This window comes from Homo sapiens, chromosome 17 (assembly GCF_000001405.40).
Source record: "Homo sapiens chromosome 17, GRCh38.p14 Primary Assembly".
NCBI lineage: Eukaryota > Metazoa > Chordata > Mammalia > Primates > Hominidae > Homo > Homo sapiens.
In genome coordinates, this window is record NC_000017.11 from 68,093,986 (window position 1) to 68,111,171 (window position 17,186).

General features: G+C 44.1%; 2 long non-coding RNA genes and 1 pseudogene across 2 annotated transcripts in view, besides 5 other annotated features; 2 read left to right on the plus strand and 1 right to left on the minus strand.

Moving 5' to 3' along the window:
• Nucleotides 1,084-2,505, plus strand: FBXO36P1 (F-box protein 36 pseudogene 1; annotated as a pseudogene).
• On the minus strand, nt 2,117-7,511 carry LOC124904048 (uncharacterized). Its single transcript, XR_007065885.1, has 2 exons — nt 6,567-7,511; nt 2,117-2,493 (listed from the first exon to the last, which is right to left on the minus strand). It is a non-coding gene; the product is annotated as an uncharacterized LOC124904048 (long non-coding RNA).
• Nucleotides 6,911-7,690: an enhancer, noted in NCBI's record as "H3K27ac-H3K4me1 hESC enhancer chr17:66097037-66097816 (GRCh37/hg19 assembly coordinates)". NCBI's record gives its function as "activates a minimal SCP1, AML or CMV promoter by ChIP-STARR-seq in naive and primed H9 embryonic stem cells {active_cell/tissue: H9 hESC(naive and primed)}" and the evidence as "EXISTENCE:reporter gene assay evidence [ECO:0000049][PMID:30033119]".
• Nucleotides 7,435-7,574: a silencer, noted in NCBI's record as "silent region_8887". NCBI's record gives its function as "represses an Ori minimal core promoter by ATAC-STARR-seq in GM12878 lymphoblastoid cells {active_cell/tissue: GM12878}" and the evidence as "EXISTENCE:reporter gene assay evidence [ECO:0000049][PMID:35858748]".
• The window catches only part of LINC00674 (long intergenic non-protein coding RNA 674), a 34,375-nt gene continuing 24,758 nt past the window's right edge, over nt 7,570-17,186 (plus strand). The window contains exons 1-3 of the long non-coding RNA NR_027418.1: nt 7,570-7,974; nt 8,958-9,073; nt 12,437-12,568. This is a non-coding gene — a long non-coding RNA (long intergenic non-protein coding RNA 674). The remainder of the gene's footprint in view (nt 7,975-8,957; nt 9,074-12,436; nt 12,569-17,186) is intronic.
• Nucleotides 7,625-7,684: a silencer, noted in NCBI's record as "silent region_8888". NCBI's record gives its function as "represses an Ori minimal core promoter by ATAC-STARR-seq in GM12878 lymphoblastoid cells {active_cell/tissue: GM12878}" and the evidence as "EXISTENCE:reporter gene assay evidence [ECO:0000049][PMID:35858748]".
• Nucleotides 7,691-8,469: an enhancer, noted in NCBI's record as "H3K27ac-H3K4me1 hESC enhancer chr17:66097817-66098595 (GRCh37/hg19 assembly coordinates)". NCBI's record gives its function as "activates a minimal SCP1, AML or CMV promoter by ChIP-STARR-seq in naive and primed H9 embryonic stem cells {active_cell/tissue: H9 hESC(naive and primed)}" and the evidence as "EXISTENCE:reporter gene assay evidence [ECO:0000049][PMID:30033119]".
• Nucleotides 7,845-8,004: a silencer, noted in NCBI's record as "silent region_8889". NCBI's record gives its function as "represses an Ori minimal core promoter by ATAC-STARR-seq in GM12878 lymphoblastoid cells {active_cell/tissue: GM12878}" and the evidence as "EXISTENCE:reporter gene assay evidence [ECO:0000049][PMID:35858748]".

The window sequence follows — 17,186 nt, forward strand, 5'->3', positions numbered from 1 at the left end:
GGCACAATCTCGGCTCACTGCAACCTCCACCTCCTGGGTTCAAGCGATTCTTCTGCCTCAGCCTCCCGAGTAGCTGGAACTACAGGCACATGCCACCACGCCCGGCTGATTTTTTGTATTTTTAGTAGAGACGGGGTTTCACCATGTTAGCCAGGATGGTCTCGATCTCCTGACCTGGTGATCCGCCTGCCTTGGCCTCCCAAAGTGCTGGGATTACAGGCGTGAGCCACCGTGCCCGGCTACAAGGTGCTATCTTTAAAGATCTTCTCCAGAATGACTTGTGATATCTTTATAGGGGTAGGGGGTTTCCCCTCAGTATCAGAATTTCTTTACTTACAAGATTATAATCTTGTAAGTAATTATAGAATCTTGTAAGTAATTGTAAGATGATGATCTTGCAGGTAATTATAGAATCTTGTAAGTAATTGTAAGATTATAATCTTGTAAGTAATTATAGAATCTTGTAAGTAATTGTAAGATTATAATCTGTAATCCCAGCTACTCAGGAGGCTGAGGTATGAGAATCGCTTGAACCCAAGAGGCAGAGGTTGCAGTGAGCGGAGATCATGCCACTGCTCTCCAGCCTGGGCGACAGAGTAAGACTCTGTCTCAAAACAAAACAAAACAGGCCAGGCGCGGTGGCTCATGCCTGTTTCCCGTGAGGCATCCTCAGCTTTCAATCAAGTTGGGGAGTGAAGGTCAGTAAACCAGTGGCTGAGCAAACCTCCACCCGACCTTTCTCACAGGGCTGCAGATGAATGGGAGAGCCAGCCGAGAAATCTAAAGTGCCTCGCATCCCCAGCACTTTGCTAAAGGAGGTGGTGGGTGGACAGGTTAAGACACCCTCCCAGCTCCCTAGCCTCCTGCGGTATTCAGGGAGCCATTAGGCACCTTCTTCTGCAGCCACCAGTGGGGCAGTGTTGCCAAGAGGGTACCAGGAGGAGAATCCTGCAGCCTTGACCTGTGCAACTGATAACGAACTACAGATGGGATGGAGGGCATGTTACCTGATGCTGGCCAGTAGATCATGACATGGAGAACTCACCACTATTCCTGAGAAACTTGGACTTTGACTCAACAGAGAGGTAATCTTTGGATGGTGGAAGATCTCTCTAAGGAGTGAGTATTGATCAACAAAACCTGGAGAAGCAAAAGAAACCCACAAAGACTTCCTAGAGAATTTACATCTTCAAGGTCAAACTGCCTTAATATTTGGTGCAAGAATATTAGACTATGTTATCAATTTGTGCAAAGGTAAATTTGACTTCCTTGAACGGCTCTCAGACGATTTGCTCCTGAATATCATTTCTTATCTGGATCTTGAAGATATTGCTAGGCTTTGTCAAACATCACACAGATTTGCAAAGGAGGAAGTCAGGACACAGAGGGCCACAGCACAACAGGGCTGGCCAGGGCTGGTGCTGTTTGGGATAGGAGGACAACAGCCTTCAGCAGCATCCATGTTGCCGCAAGGACATGGTTTCATTCTTTTTTTATGGTGTGCAATGGCAAAAGTTAACAGAAGAATAGAATATCTTCTACATTCAAGACCAAGAAGTGCTCACACCTTGCAGGAATTGGAGAAGCTGTGCATGTCTGATAAACTGTGGGAACAGATAGTCCAGTCGATCTGCGACACCATCACTCCTGACGTGAGGTCCCTGGCGGAGGACACGGGCTGGAGACAGCTGTTCTTCACCAACAAGCTCCAGCTCCAGCGGCAGCTCCGCAAGAGGAAACAAAAATATGGAAGCTTGAGAGAAAAGCAACCTTAGGCACACATTTTCCTACCAGCAGGGAGCTGAGGCATGGCTGTGTTTCTCTTCGGTGTCCAAATCTCTTCCGTCTCCTTTTCTTAAGAACTAAGAGGTTTTGCTGGTGCATGGAGCCATTTGTAACTCATAGAGGATTTGCACACAAATGCAGCAGAATCTGGCTTCCCAGTGCCTTGCTAGAGTCACCATCATTCTGAGGTCAAATCATGGCCTGAGGACAAGGGCTGTAAGACAGGGAGCCCCATAGGCCATCATCGTCCTTATCCCACACTCATTAAAAAAGAGTGTTTTTAAATGATTGTTTTAATGTTTGTTTTAATTGTATATAAACAAACAATAAATGATTATTAGCAGGTTTTTATTAGACATCTATTTTATCTAGGCATTGGAAAGGGTAATGGGGCTTTTACTTTTTTTCCTGGCGTTGTGTCATCTGAGTCCAGCCATGAAGCTGGTGCCTGAGTGTCCCCACCAGGAACCGTGAAGGGCAGGTACCACAGGAGGCACAAGGGGTGAGTGCAGTTGCCTTCCCAACTTTGTTCTGCTAAGTCCATATTCAGGGCCCTGTCCTTGTGGGCCCAGGACGCCAGGCTCCATCCCCGCATGTGGACAGCTTCCGACCTGGCGCTGGGGCATGACTGGAGAAGTGCAGGAATACTGCTTGCGGACCTTGCTCAAAGTACAACTTCCCAGGACTACTTCACATTGTTAAATAAACCTATAAACATTTTAAAAAATAAATAAATAAATAATAATAAAAAATAAAGAATGGTCCTGTTTTCATGTCCAGTGGTATTTTCCTTTCCTCAAAGATTTTACACCTGAATGTATATAATTCATTTTACGTAAGATTCCCATCCCTTAATTTTCCGTCTTATCTTTCCCAAGTTCTGGCTATTAATTTGGTAATTCCCTACATGTTGTCATTATAATGTACATATATCCCCCTTTGGAGACATAAACATAAACCCAAGGGAAGAGAAACATAGAGACTTTTATTTTTTTTTTTTAAGGTTTCTAACCCAATCATCTCTGAAATCTGAGCCTGGACTAGTTGTGGCCACTCACTTAAGAGAGGCCTTCAAAATGACTTTCCTATTAGGAGTGTTCTGTTTTTGTGTGTGTTTGTTTTTTTGAGGTAGGGTCTTACTCTGTTGCCCAGGCTGGAGTGCAATGGCATAATCATGGCTCACTGCAGCCTCGACCTCCTGGGCTCCAGTGATCCTCCCACCTTGGTCTCCCAAAGTGTGGGGATTACAGGCATTAGCCACCATGCTCGGCCCCTATTCTGTTTTGTTTTTTCATTTATTTTACTTCATTTTAAATGTTTAGTTACTTTAAAAAAAAGGTTTCGGTCAATGTCAAATAATATTTAACATGGCAAGGAAAACAATAAAATGAACATCCATGTAACTACTTAAAAAAAATCATTACCAGTATATTGATTTTCTTTTTTTGTGTGTGATATTCTCAGTCTGCTGCCGAGGGTGGAATGCAGTGGCGCTGGAATGAGTGGCATGATCACGGCTCACTGCAACCTTGACCTCCACGGGCTCAGGTGATCCTCCTATCTCAGCCTTCTGAGTAGCTGGGCCTGTAGTTGCATGCCACCACTTCCGGCTAATTTTTTGTAGGTATGGGATTTTGCCACGTTGCCCAGGCTGGTTTCAAACTCCTGGGCTCAAGTGATTCCTCTGCCTCGGCCTCCCAAAGTGCTAGGATTACAGGCATGAGTCACCATGCCCAGCTCTTGAATGGTTTTAAAGTGTTATTGTTATCTGAATATTTGTTTTAAACAACAGGATTTAACCTTACAGGAAAGCCTAAATACAAACCTCTGCACGTTAACCCTATATACATTTTTCTATGCTGTTACTTACATATTTGAATGTACTGCTTTCAACTTCAAAACAAGCAGTCTCCCCCAAGTCTCCCATTACGTTCTGAAATCCTAACTTCTATTACCTAATACAAGACTACAAATTATGTTCATTGGATGGTTGGGAACAAAGTGTGTGCCATAAAAATAAGGTAAATGTGAATGTGTGAAACAGTTTGCTAAGCTTTTTGCCACCGTCTGACCTCTTAAATTGTGGTAGCAGCTATTGTTCACATTGATTTGTATATGTTTGTAGTACAAAGAAGCATTTCTAAAGGACCTTGTTCATTGCTTTGCACAAAATGGCCACTTAATATTTGTTGAATGAATTGCTGGCACTATCTCTGGTATTTTTATTTTTATTTATTTATTTATTTTTGATATGGAGTCTTGCTCTGTCACCCAGGCTGAAGTGCAGGGGTGTGATCTCGGTTCACTGTAACCTCCTGTGTTCAAGCGATTCTCGTGCCTCAGCCTCCCTAATTGCTGGGACTACCGGCATAAGCCATCACGCCTGGCTAATTTTTTTGTATTTTTTTTTTTTAGTACAGACGGGGTTTCACCATGTTGGCCAGGCTGGTCTCAAACTCCTGACCTCAAATGATCCGCCCGCCTCGGCCTCCCAAAGTGTTGGGTTTACAGGCGTAAGCCAGCGTGCCCAGCCTATCTGTGGTATTTTTAGTGTGATGTCTAGAACTTCATATACTTTTTTGGATTACTTTAATTGTAGGGCTGTATCCAAACTGATCAAATGCTCTCGGAGGTAACTATTTGGAGAAGTGACTTCACTGATTGATTAAAATAAATGACTGGCATGGAATAAGGATTAAAATATATTAATCTGAAACATTTAAAATTGCATTAATGTTATAACAGCCTAAAGCAAAACTAATGAATCACATAAAAAATCCCCCACGTGGCCGGGCACGGTGGCTCACGCCTGTAATCCCAGCACTTTGGGAGGCCAAGCCGGGCGGATCATGAGGTCAGGAGATTGGGACCATCCTGGCTAACACGATGAAACCCTGTCTCTACTAAAAATACAAAAAATTAGCCAGGCGTGGTGCCGGGCGCCTGTAGTCCCAGCTACTTGGGAGGCTGAGGCAGGAGAATGGTGTGAACCCGGCAGGTGGAGCTTGTAGTGAGCCGAGATGGCGCCACTGCACTCCAGCCTGGGCGACGGAACGAGACTCCGTCTCAAAAAAAAATCCCCCACGCTGTTGTCCTTACTAGTTTACTTTGTGCTAGACACTTTTGCATGTATATGCATACAACTTTTATTCTGTTTTTAAACTTTGCATTACATATACATTCTTCCATATTATATGATCTTCATTAAAATAGTTAAATGGCTGCATAAAAAACCATGTGGTTCCTGGACCATTATGCTGTTCCCTCATTCCCCTTTTGTTTTTAATGGAATAGAGCAAAGAACATCTTCTGTATTATTGTCAAGAATAGTGAGAGGTGACAGCGTGCTGGCAGTCCTCACAGCCCTCGCTTGCTCTCGGCGCCTCCTCTCCCTGGGCTCCCACTTTGGCGGCACTTGAGGAGCCCTTCAGCCCACCACTGCACTGTGGGAGCCCCTTTCTGGGCTGGCCAAGGCCGGAGCCCACTCCCTCAGCTTGCAGGGAGGTGTGGAGGGAGAGGCGTGAGCTGGAACTGGGGCTGCGTGCAGCGCTTGCGGGCCAGCTGGAGTTCCGGGTGGGCCAGGGCTTGGCGGCCCCGCACTCGGAGCAGCCGGCCGGCCCTGCCGGCCCCGGGCAATGAGGGACTTAGCACCCGGGCCAGCGGCTGCGGAAGGTGTACTAGGTCCCCCAGCAGTGCCAGCCCACCGGCGCTGCGCTCAATTTCTCGCCGAGCCGTAGCTGCCTTCCCGCCGGGCAGCCCTCGGGACTGCAGCCCGCCATGCCTGAGCCTTCCCCCGCCTCTGTGGGTTCCTGTGCAGCCCGAGCCTCCCCGACAAGCCCTGCCCCCTGCTCACGGCGCCCAGGCCCATCGACCACCCAAGGGCTGAGGAGTGCGAGCACATGGCACAGGACTGGCAGGCAGCTCCACCTGCAGCCCCGGTGGGGGATCCACTGGATGAAGCCAGCTGGGCTTCTGAGTCTGGTGGGGTCTTGGAAAACCTTTATGTCTAGCTCAGGGTTTGTGAGTGCACCAGTGGACACTCTATCTAGCTACTCTGGTGGGGCCTTGGAGAACCTTTATGTCTAGCTCAGGGATTGTAAATACACCAATCAGCACTCTGTATCTAGCTCAAGGTTTGTAAACACACCAATCAGCACCCTGTGTTTAGCTCAGGATTTGTGAATGCACCAATCAACACTCTGTATCTAGCTCAGGATTTGTGAATGCACCAATCGACACTCTGTATCTAGCTGCTCTGGTGGGGCCTTGGGGAACCTTTGTGTCCATACTCTGTATCTAACTAATCTGATGGTGACGTGGAGAACCTTTGTATCTAGCTCAGGGATTGTAAACACACCAATCAGCGCCCTGTCCAAACAGACCACTTGGCTCTACCAATCAGCAGGATGAGGGTGGGGCCAGATAAGAGAATAAAAGCAGGCTGCCAGAGCCTGCAGTGGTAACTCGTTCGCGTCTCTTTACACAGTGTGAAGTTTCAGTTTTTTGCTGTTTGGGTCCACACTGTTTTTATGAGCTGTAACACTCACCACGTAAGTCTCCAGTTTCTATCCTAAAGGCAGTAAGACAACAAGCTCACCGGGAAGGATGAACAGCGCCGGACACGTCGCCTTAAGAGCTATAACACTCACCACCAAGGCCTGCAGTTTCACTCCCGAGCTAGTGAGACCAAGAACCCACCTAAAGGAAAAAACTCCGAACACATCTTAAGGTCAAGAAGGAACGAACTCCTGACACGCCACCTTAAAAGCTGTAACACTCACCACCAGGGTCTGTGGCTTCATTCTTGAAGTCAGTGAGACCAAGAGCCCACCAATTCTGGACACAATAGGGCTGAGTGCGGTGGCTCAGGTCTGTAATCCCAGCACTTCGGGAGGCCAAGGCAGGCAGATCATTTGAGGTCAGGAGTTCGTGACCAACCTGGGCAACATAGAGAAACCTAAATGTCCCTCCTAAACGTGTCTTTACCAAAAATAAAAGAATTAGTGGGGTGTAGTGGTGCATACTGTGATCTCAGCTACTGCAGAGGCTCAGGTGGGAGGATCATCTGAGCCTGGGAAGTTGGGACTGCAGTGAGTCTGGGTGACAGGGAGACCCTGTCTTAAAAAAAAAAATTTTAGCAGTATAGTTACAAGGTCAAAGGATATGGTACATCTTTAGAAAGTTGTTATCTTTCTGCTCCTGAGATAAATACAGTAGTGTATGAACAACTCTTCATACGTTACTCCAAGGTTTATCTTGTTAATTCTTTAAGACGTATCATCTCCCTATCCTTGGCTGCACCTGAAAAGAGCGGGACTCTGCAGGTAACCCGATTTTCTCCACCAGGTGAGTCCCGGATGGAGGCGTCAACTACAAGACCAGGAACAGCACTCCTGGGGCTTTGCTGGAACCATCGGCGTGGGAATGCTGTCTCTTCCCTCGCCAGAAATACGACAAGTTCCCGGCGGGTAGCAGACTTGGTTCTAATTTTCCTCGCCCCAGCCTCTTGGAGCGCCCTGCATGCTGTGGGCGTCTAATAAATGCAGTCGGCCCTGCTTGGTCTAAAACTCTCCCTTGAGTGGACCGGACACTAAACCCCTCCAGGGGTCACAGCTGCCGCTCCCGCCGCCACTTTGCTCCTTGCCTGCTCCCTTCCCGCGTTCCGCCTGGGACCCTCGGCGGCAGCTCACACCTTCCCTCAGTGCCGGTGCCCGCTCCGGGCATCTGGCGCGCGCCCGCCGGCCCCGCCCCGCTGACCCCACCGGCCCCGCCTCCCATCTCCCCCTCGCCCCCCCGGAGCCGACAAATGGCCGCGGCGGCCTCAGGTCCGGCGTCACTCAGACAAGGGGGCGGGTGGAGGAGGAAGCGGCCAAGTCCACAGTCCTGCTCCCGTGCCGCCGAGCACCGCCCACCTCAGCTGACCAGCCCTGTCCGCTACTAGGCCTCGCCTAGAGGAGGGAAAGGCCGTGGCGTCCGCTCCCTCCGCGGCTCATGGCGACGACGCTTGGCACATCCGGGACCCTCAGGCCGCTGCAGTCGCGTCGCCGGCTGCTCGGGCCCCAGCCCCGGCCGCTGTGGTGACTCCGCCGCGCCTCGCCGTCGCCCCCGTCCCGCCCGCCGCCCCAGCCGCCAGGGACATGTCTAACCTCGGAGGCCGTAGGAACGGGCCTGTCGAAGTGCGCCTGACAGGTGAAGGGGGCGCGGCGGGCCGGGCTGGGCAGCCGCGAGGTGGGCGAGCTGGCAGGGGTGCTTGTGGCCTTGGGAAGGGCCAGGGTCGCGATCAGTGGTGAGTTGGGGGTCGGAGGTGTGGGAAGGCCTAGTTCAGAGAGAGCAATTGGAAAACCACTTGTTCCGGTTTGGACATTGTTTAAAAAGCCGAGGATGACTCGGGGCGGGGGGGTGGTGTTTTGTGGAGGGGAGGGTACACCAGTTCGCATCGCAGGCGGATTTCAGGTCGGAAAGTCTTGGTCAAGGAGCCCGACGCTGCCTCCCGGGGCTCGGGGAACAGCCCCTGGGCTACCGCCCAGGTGAGATCGTGAAGGGGATGAAGAGCTCCCGTGGCGAGGATTATTGAATTCGGTTGCTGACTGCGCGCAGTAAACACTCCTTAAAGATGGAGCGCTTAACGGGAGGGTGTGCGTCTGTGTTCCCGGGTTGTTACCTTGCACACACCCACTTATGCCCGCGTGAAAAACCTTTACTCCCCGCCGCCGGCCACCGCTGCCAGGGTCACACACCTTAAACTCACGTCTCTCTGAGGAGGGGAGACAGGTTGACTTCCGGTGTGCCTGTCTGATCCGACGGCTTGGGCTCATTGTACACTGTGTTTTGGAAGTGTCTGATTGTAGGGTGGCATGTTTGGGGGTTGTTCCTTATAGGCCGCAGAACTTGTGTCTCACTTCTAGCTCCAGACCTGCTTTAAAAACACACTTTTTTTTTTGGTGGGGGGGCGGAGAGGGTACAATTCTAAGTATGTCCTCATACAAATTTTCGAACAAACTTTCTGTTACTCTCCCCACCCTCCCCCTTCCTTTTTCGAAATGGAAAAGAGTGTCCAGAGGGGTTGCTAGATAGAAGACTACACTTACAAAGTGTTTATGATTCCAGGTGCATGAAATCTTTAACATTACAGGTACGTTTTGCTTACAGTGCCATTTTTGGTATTCTTACAGGGACATGCCACCCCCGTTTTAGGAGAACTTGTATTTGGTTTGAGAAGGAATTGGAATCACGGCGTTATCCTACCTTCACCATTTACCCCTGATAAATTGTCCACGTTTATATTTGGGTGAGTGGTGAGAAAGATAATTTTCCGTAGAGGATTTGTGTGTGCGTGCACATGTACTAATAAACTGTAATTATATTTGCCCACACTAGACTTTGAGATTTATTTGGACTAATTTTGCAGTTGAATGCTTGTGTGTCACATCCCAGTCCACTGGCTAAACTTGCTGGATGAAAACTTGCAGTGAATTTGGTATTTGAGAATTTAGCTTGAATGTGTATGTTGGCTGCAATTTAGATAATGTATTACCTTCATGACAGTTTTCCTTTCCCTAGGGAAAATTGCCAGGAATCATTAACTGAGTGGTTCTTAATGGAAAACCTGGATTGGAGGATACTTATATTCCCCCCCACCCCCCATTCAGTGTCCTTATATTGGGAGGAGTCAGTGGAAACCTTTGTAGGGGATCTTTGTTGCTTTGGAGTTTATCTGTTGCTGTTACTATCTGGAGTCAGTGATTGTGGAAAGAACATGTGATCCCAGGTGTGCAGAAAGCATCAGAAATAGGCTGTTTCCATTTACTTTCCTCTGGGCTATATAGAGAAAATGAGGAAAAAGTAGGGATTTTGATTTTCTGCAGATAAAATGAGTTGAAGTTTTTAGTATGACTCAATAGATCTTAAAGTGTTTATCTGCAGTTTCTGTACTGCCTAAGATACATTATAAAAATCTGTATGTAAAGTTTGTTAAGAGGAAAGATTATGCTTATCTTTTAGGGGAAGAGGGAATATTGAGCTACATTTATAGAGTGATTTTGTTTCAGGTTTTTCTGAGGAATTTTAAATACCCTGTGTCCTCTTAATAGTAAAAACAGTTTGAGGTACTCTAAGTTTCTTACAACTATTTGTCTCTGAATAGTTTTCTCTTAAAATTTGACAAATATTAAAAACATTGTCCTTCCTTCTTTGGTTACAGTGGAGTCTCTTCTGTTTTGCCAGGAAAGTTAACATATTGTTTTTTTCATTTTTGTTCATCATTTACAAATTAGATGGTATAGATTTTAGCAAATAGATCTCAAGAACTGGATTCAATTAGCAGCTTTTAAGGACATAAACATTAAAGGGTTAGATGGAAAAGATTGTTTTGACTGACTGGATAAATGACAGGGCTGTGTTTGATGTGTGTCCAGGAATTGGTCTGGAGCTGGTGCCCAACTTCTCAGTCCATCTTGAGAAGCCAAATAAAATACTTAACCTAGGCCTCATTTTGTTCAAAAAAAAAAAAAAAAAAAGTTGATTCTTTGTGAAGACCTTAAGAAATGTTTGGCATACCTTTAGACTAAGTGACAGTTCATTTAGATCTGGGTTCCCTAATAGAGGAAAAAAAATCACTTAAAAAAAGACAGATCCCACAGCGAATTTATATTTGGTTTACAATACACTTGGGCTATAAGATGTTTTAAAATTATTGTTCTTTGCTTTAAGTTAATAACATATTAGTATTTTAAATTTATAGAGTACCTTTGATTTCAAGATGCTGTATAAACTTCAGTTACTTGGTAATAACCTTATTGTGGAATTGCCCCTTTACTGAAAGGTATCAACATTTCTTGCGTGGTGACACACACACACACACACACACTCTCTCACACACTCATACACACTCTCTTTCTGAAGAAAAGGAAACATTTAAACCATGAGATCTCTGCCCACAATTGATATTAGACGTTTCCACATACTATTCTTAAAACCACTATCAGTGAACTGTTTGGTGTTTGTCAACGCTAACAAGGTGGGGCTAATTTAATAATTTAATCCCAAATTTTAGATTCCTCAGGCAATTGGGGGTTAGAATCCGATTTCATCCATCAAGCTACTTCTGTTCTTTATGACACATTAACATATGATCATTAAAATGGGCTGTGTGGTAACACTATTAACTTCAACTAATATTTCTATAACAAATTGATGACAAAATGTATAATTTCTATATCATTATGTTTATATGACTGTCTTATACAGGCTTTTCTTCCAATGGGTTGGATAGAAAAATATTCTTTTTTTTTTTTTTTTTTTTTTTTGAGTTGGAGTCTTCCTCTGTCGCTCAGGCTGGAGTGCAGTGGTGCAATCTCTCGGCTCACTGCAAGTTCCGCCTCCCAGGTTCACGCCATTCTCCTGCCTCAGCCTCCCGAGTAGCTGGTACTACAGGCACCCGCCACCACGCCCGGCTAACTTTGTTTTTGTATTTTAAGTAGAGACGGGGTTTCACCGTGTTAGCCAGGATGGTCTCAATCTCCTGACCTCATGATCCTCCCACCTTGGCCTCCCAAAGTGCTGGGATTACAGGCATGAGCCACGGTGCCCGGCCTAGAAAAATATTCTTTACAGTAAAAACTTTGGGATAATTTTTTAGACCATTATTGTTTCTGAAAACCAAAGGCTGGAAAAAGCAGCTTAGTGTAATTTCTAATATTTTAAATTCTTAGGTATGGAGAAGTAGAATAAGATTACTCCTCCAGAACATTTATTTCAGACATTTTTATACATTTAATGTTTTTGTATGCTGTTTCTCATGTTATTAATTTCAAAGCCCTTGGCAATAAGGAGGTTAAACTTGTCTATAGTGTAAGGAAATTTAACTTTAAAAATTTTCCTTTAGATATGCTAGCATCTTAATCTTGGTACACTACATATTTTATCGAGTCAAGGCTTTAAAAATTATAGCTTCATTCTGTTTGACAGGTTTTTAAGTATGCCTATACACCATAATGATTTTATTTATTTTTTAAGATGGAATTTTGTTCTTGGCTGAAGTGTAATGGCCCAATCTTGGCCCACTGCAACCTCCGCCTCCCAGGTTCAAGCGATTCTCCTGCCTCAGCCTCCCGAGTAGCTGGGATTACAGGCACCCGCCACCATGCCTGGCTAATTTTTTTTGTATTTTTAGTAGAGATGGGGTTTCCCCATGTTGGCCAGGCTGGTCTTGAACTCCTGACCTCAGGTGATCTGCCTGCCTTGGCCTCTCAAAGTGCTGGGATTACAGGCGTGAGCCACTGCACCGAGCCCATAATGACTTTTATATACTATAGGTGTTAGTGATTTGAATGTCCCCAGTTCATTTTATTTTTCTTGGTTTCTGAGAAGGAAGACAATGTAGCTGAGCTCTTTCCTTTTCTCTTAAATCCTGTCTACTAGTCTAACCCTCTTCAGGCAGGCAGTAGAACATGTCAAGGTCCTTGATGTAGTTTGGTATTCATAGTAAAGTCTGTGTATTTTAGTCATCACTTTTACTTTTTTCTTGTTGGTTGAGCTGTTACTATCACAGCATACTAACATCTCATTTAGCATAACTCAGTTTTCAAGATAAATGAAGGGTCACACTTAGGCATACAAGATTTTATTTTAGCCTTTTTTATTTTTTTGGCAGAGTCTCATTCTATTGCCCATGCTGGAGTGCAGTGGCAACAGCGTGCAGTGAGTGATCCCGGCTCTCTGCAGCTTTGACCTCCTGGCTCAAGTGCTTTTCCCACCTTGGCTTCCCAAGTAGCTGGGACTACAGGTACGCGCCACTGTGATTGGCTAATTTTTTTTACTTTTTTTTTTTCCTCTCCAGTAGATATGGGGTTTCTCCAGGTTGCCCAGGCTGGTCTTGAACTTCTCCACTTAGGAGATCCTCCTGCCTCAGCCTTCCAAAGTGCTGGGATTACAGGTGTGAGCCACCATGCCTGGCCTATTTTAGTCTTTCTTGGTGAGAGTCTTAAAGATGTAGTATGTCCTCCTCTTTTCAAATAGATCATACTTAGTAGAACTTAATGTTTTACTTATGATTCAATATAATTATGAATATAAATTATTGTTTTGTTGCATATGCAATGTGAGGATCTCATTAGGGCCTGTAGAGAGAAGTATTTCACCCTGGCTAAATGGTGATAGGTCATTTAACTTGTTCTTACTAGTTTTTCTCTTTGCCTTCATTTTTGTTTACTGATACTTTCTTTGTCTAAGAATGCTGAACCCTTGAAATACGCCGTTGTAATCAGCATTGTTACGTGTTTCTGTATGATTGACATGTATTGAAAGTTTAAGTGCCAGATGCTATGTTAAGTTCGTATCTATTATCACTTTTAATTTTCATAGTAGCTCTAAGTGATAGGAGAAACTGAAAGTTGGAGAAGTACATGTCACAACCAAAGTTGTCTAGAAAGCTTATTACAAGTTTATTAGAATTTGTGTGGAAAAATAAAATTGACATATTCTGTTCACTTGGAATTGCACTCGCCCCTAGCAATACTTGCCCATCTTTTAAGGCTCAAGTCAAGGATTACTGTTAGCCCTAGAACTTTCCCTGACCTGAGTTGAACTGTCCTCTGTGACTCTAGGAAACTCTTCTTTTAGTATCAGACCTAACCCGCTGATAGGCATCTATTGTTCCTATGCTTTAAGTTCCATGAAGTCAGGATCCTTGTGTGAGCATGGATTAAGACCTTTTTGGCATTTTATTTAATGAATGCTGGAGAGCTATAAATAGTTCCGAATAGTTCTGCGTGTGTTCTTTATGGCTAACGCACTGGGTATGAGTGGCAAGAGGTGAGGCTCTTGGACAGGGACCAACCTAGTTTAGGACCTTATTATAGTGTGCCAAGAGGTTCATTTTTTTTAAGGTGGTGGGAGCCATTGCAGGATTTTAAGCATTGATATATTTGTTGTTTAGACACAATCTGGGAGCAATATGGAGGATGGACTGGAATGGGAGCCATGAAGACTGGTTTTAGGATAACTGGTTAAGAAGATTCAACAGCAGCCATCGTTCAGATTTTTTTTCTTGTTTGAACATTTATTTCCAAATTTTTTATTACAAATAATTGCTGTAAGCATCTTGGTGTAGGTAACTTTGATTTTTTTAAAAGGATTTTTTTTTTTTTTAGGATGCTTCCATAAAAATAGTGTTACTGAGTTCAAGTGTGTGGATATTTTTAAGGTTTTGTGATTAATTTTTCCTTTAGGCTCTTTCTTAAAAGAGTTGGGCCTGTTTAGAGCAGCAGTAAATAAAGATGTCCCTTTTTACTATTCTGTTGTAAGCATTAGCTAATTGCATTTTAAATATTTTGCTAATTTCATGGCATGTGCCATTTAAACATTCGTGAAGCAGAATATTTTCCTGTCTGTTTACTAATCATATTTATTTTCATTGATTTGTTTGGCCTTGTCCTAGTTATGTTAAAGCCTTAGTGTTTTTCTTATTGATCTACCTGATACTTACAAATATATTAATCTGTTGTCATATTTGCTACAAACATTTCCATGGTGAATTATTTGTCTTTTAATATTGGTCATTGTTTGGACATGTAGAAATGTGTTATCTTAGGAGTCAAAATCTGTCCAACTCTTGTTTTGTTTTTCCTGTTCTATACTTGGAAAACCTTTTTCTTCAAGGAGTTTGATGAATAAGTACGTTATATTTAGTGTTTTTTAAAAATGCTTTAATAAACTATTCCCCCTTCAATTCCTATTTAGCCGTCTCATCATTATTTATTAACCAGTTCTTCCTTTCCACAGTGATGTAGTATCTTTTCAGTTAATTATAATAGAGTCAGATATATCTCTTGTTCAGTGCCATACTGTTTTCAATATTGTAGCTTTATAATTTAGTTTAATATTCTCACTAGGCCAGTTTTTTTAAGAGATGGAGTCTCACTCTGCCACCCAGGGAGTACAGTGGCGTGATCTTGGCTCACTGCAGCCTCTAACCCCTGGGTTCAAGTGATTCTCCTGCCTCAACCTCCCTAGTAGCTGGAATTACAGGTGCATGCCACGACTCCCAGCTAATTTTTTTGGGGTGGAGATGGGGTTATATTGGTCAGGTTGGTCTCGAACTCCTGACCTCAAGTGATCTGCCTGCGTTGGCCTCCCAATTTTTTTTTTTTTTTTTTGCTATTCTTATTTTTTGTTTCCGCATAAATATTAAACTTGTTAAGTTTAATAAGAAATTTCACTGGGGCCGGGCGTGGTGGCTCACGCCTGTAATCCCAGGACTTTGGGGAGGCTGAGGAGGGTGGATCTTCTGAGGTCAGGAGTTTGACACCAGCCTGGCCGACATGGTGAAACCCTGTCTCTACTAATAATACAAAATTAGTTGGGCGTGGTGGCACACTGGGGAGGCTGCGTCACGAGAATCACTTGAACCCAGGAGGCAGAGGTTGTAGTGAGCCGAGATCATGCCACTGCACTCAGCCTCAGCCTGCCTGGGTGACAGAGTGAAACTGTGTCTCAAAAAAAAAAAAAAAAAAAAAAAAGACATTTAATTGGGATTATTATTAGAATTTCCTTACTTTGGGAAAAAGAGGCATCTAAGTTTATTTAGTTTTCTTACCCAGGAGCATGCTAAGTTTTTACATTTATTTAAGCTTTGGCTCATATTGCTCAGGATAGCTTTATAATTTTCTTCCTATGTTTGAATTTAATTTCAGATAATTTATATTTGTCTGATTTACATTGTGTTTTCTAATCCTAGTTATTGCTTGTATTTAGGAATGCAGTTATATGTATTTTTGCTTGATTAGAACAATTTTGGCTGGGCGTGGTGGCTCATGCCTGTTATCCCAGCACTTTGGGAGGCCAAGGTGGGAGGATCACTTGAGCCCAGGAGTTTGAGACCAGCCTGGGCAACATAGTGAGACCCCATCTATATATTTATTTATTTATTTATTTATTTATTTGTTATTTTTTTTTGAGACTGAGTTTCGCTCTTGTCGCCCAGGCTGGAGTGCAATGGCGCCATCTTGGCTCACTGCAACCTCTGCCTCCTGGGTTCAAGCGATTCTCCGGCCTCAGCCTCCCGAGTAGCTGGGATTACAGGCATGCTAATTTTGTATTTTTAGTAGAGACGGGGTTTCTCCATGTTGGTCAGGCTGGTCTCGAACTCCTGACCTTAGGTGATCCGCCTGCCTTGGCCTCCCAAAGTGCTGGGATTACAGGCATGAACCACTGTGCCCAGCTGATGTTAGTTTTCTAGGTATCAAGTGTTTGGTACTTGTTACAGTTGAATGTTAACACTTAAAATTTTTCTTTTCTCTTGGATTCCTCCCCAACATATAAGTAGTTGAACAAAGTGAGAAATTTTGTTTATTTTATTAAAATTTTTTTAAATACGAGCAGTCTCCTGAACAAGAATAGTTTCAGACAGACTCTCTGTTTTAGAATAGCTTCTGATGGCATTGGCTACCTTTTTTAAAAACCACCTTTGATATTGTATTAAAAAGTATCAAAACCTAATCTTAAGTTTGATTGGCAGTTTGGTTTGGTTTTATACAAAAATTGATAGCAGACATAAAGTTTAAATTATTTATTTATTTTGAGACAGTTTTGCTCTTGTTGCCCAGGCTGGAGTGCAGTGGCGCCATCTCTGCTCACCACAACCTCCGCCTCCCGGGTTCAAGTGATTCTCCGGCCTCAGCCTCCCGAGTAGCTGGGATTACAGGCATGCGCCACCATGCCAGTCTAATTTTTTTTTGTATTTTTCATAGAGACGTGGTTTTTCCATGTTGACCAGGCTGGTCTCGAACTTCCAACCTCAGGTGATCCGCCTGCCTTGGCCTCCCAAAGTGCTGGGATTACAGGTGTGAGCCACTGTGCCTGGCCTAAATTTTAAATTTTTAAATAAACTGTGATGATTAATTTTTAGGGAGGAATTACCACATAGATGATTGCAATCATGCAATGCTCTTCCCATTTCTTCCCAAAAAGTTTCCTCTTACCTCTTCATAGCCAGTTGTCTTCTTTAATACCCAGAACTTGTCAACTACTGATCTGTTTTCTATCACTATAATTTTGCCTTTTCTAGGATTTTGTGTAAATGGAATCATACCGTCTGCAGTCTTTTGGGTGAGGCTTCTTTTAACATAATGCTTTTGAGATTCATCCATGCTGGGTATCAGTACTTTGTTCCTTTTCATTCCTGAGGAATATTGCATTGTACATCAATTTGTTTATCTGTTTGTAAATATCCACAGACATTTGTTGTTTCCAGTTTTTGGCCATTACGAATAAATATTTGAGTACATGGCTCTTTGTGAACATGTTTTTCTTGCCCTTGGGTAAATGAGTGGGATTGTTGCACCATACAAAAAGTATGCATTTTAACTTTTTAAAAATCTGCTGGGCAGATTGCTTGAGCCCAG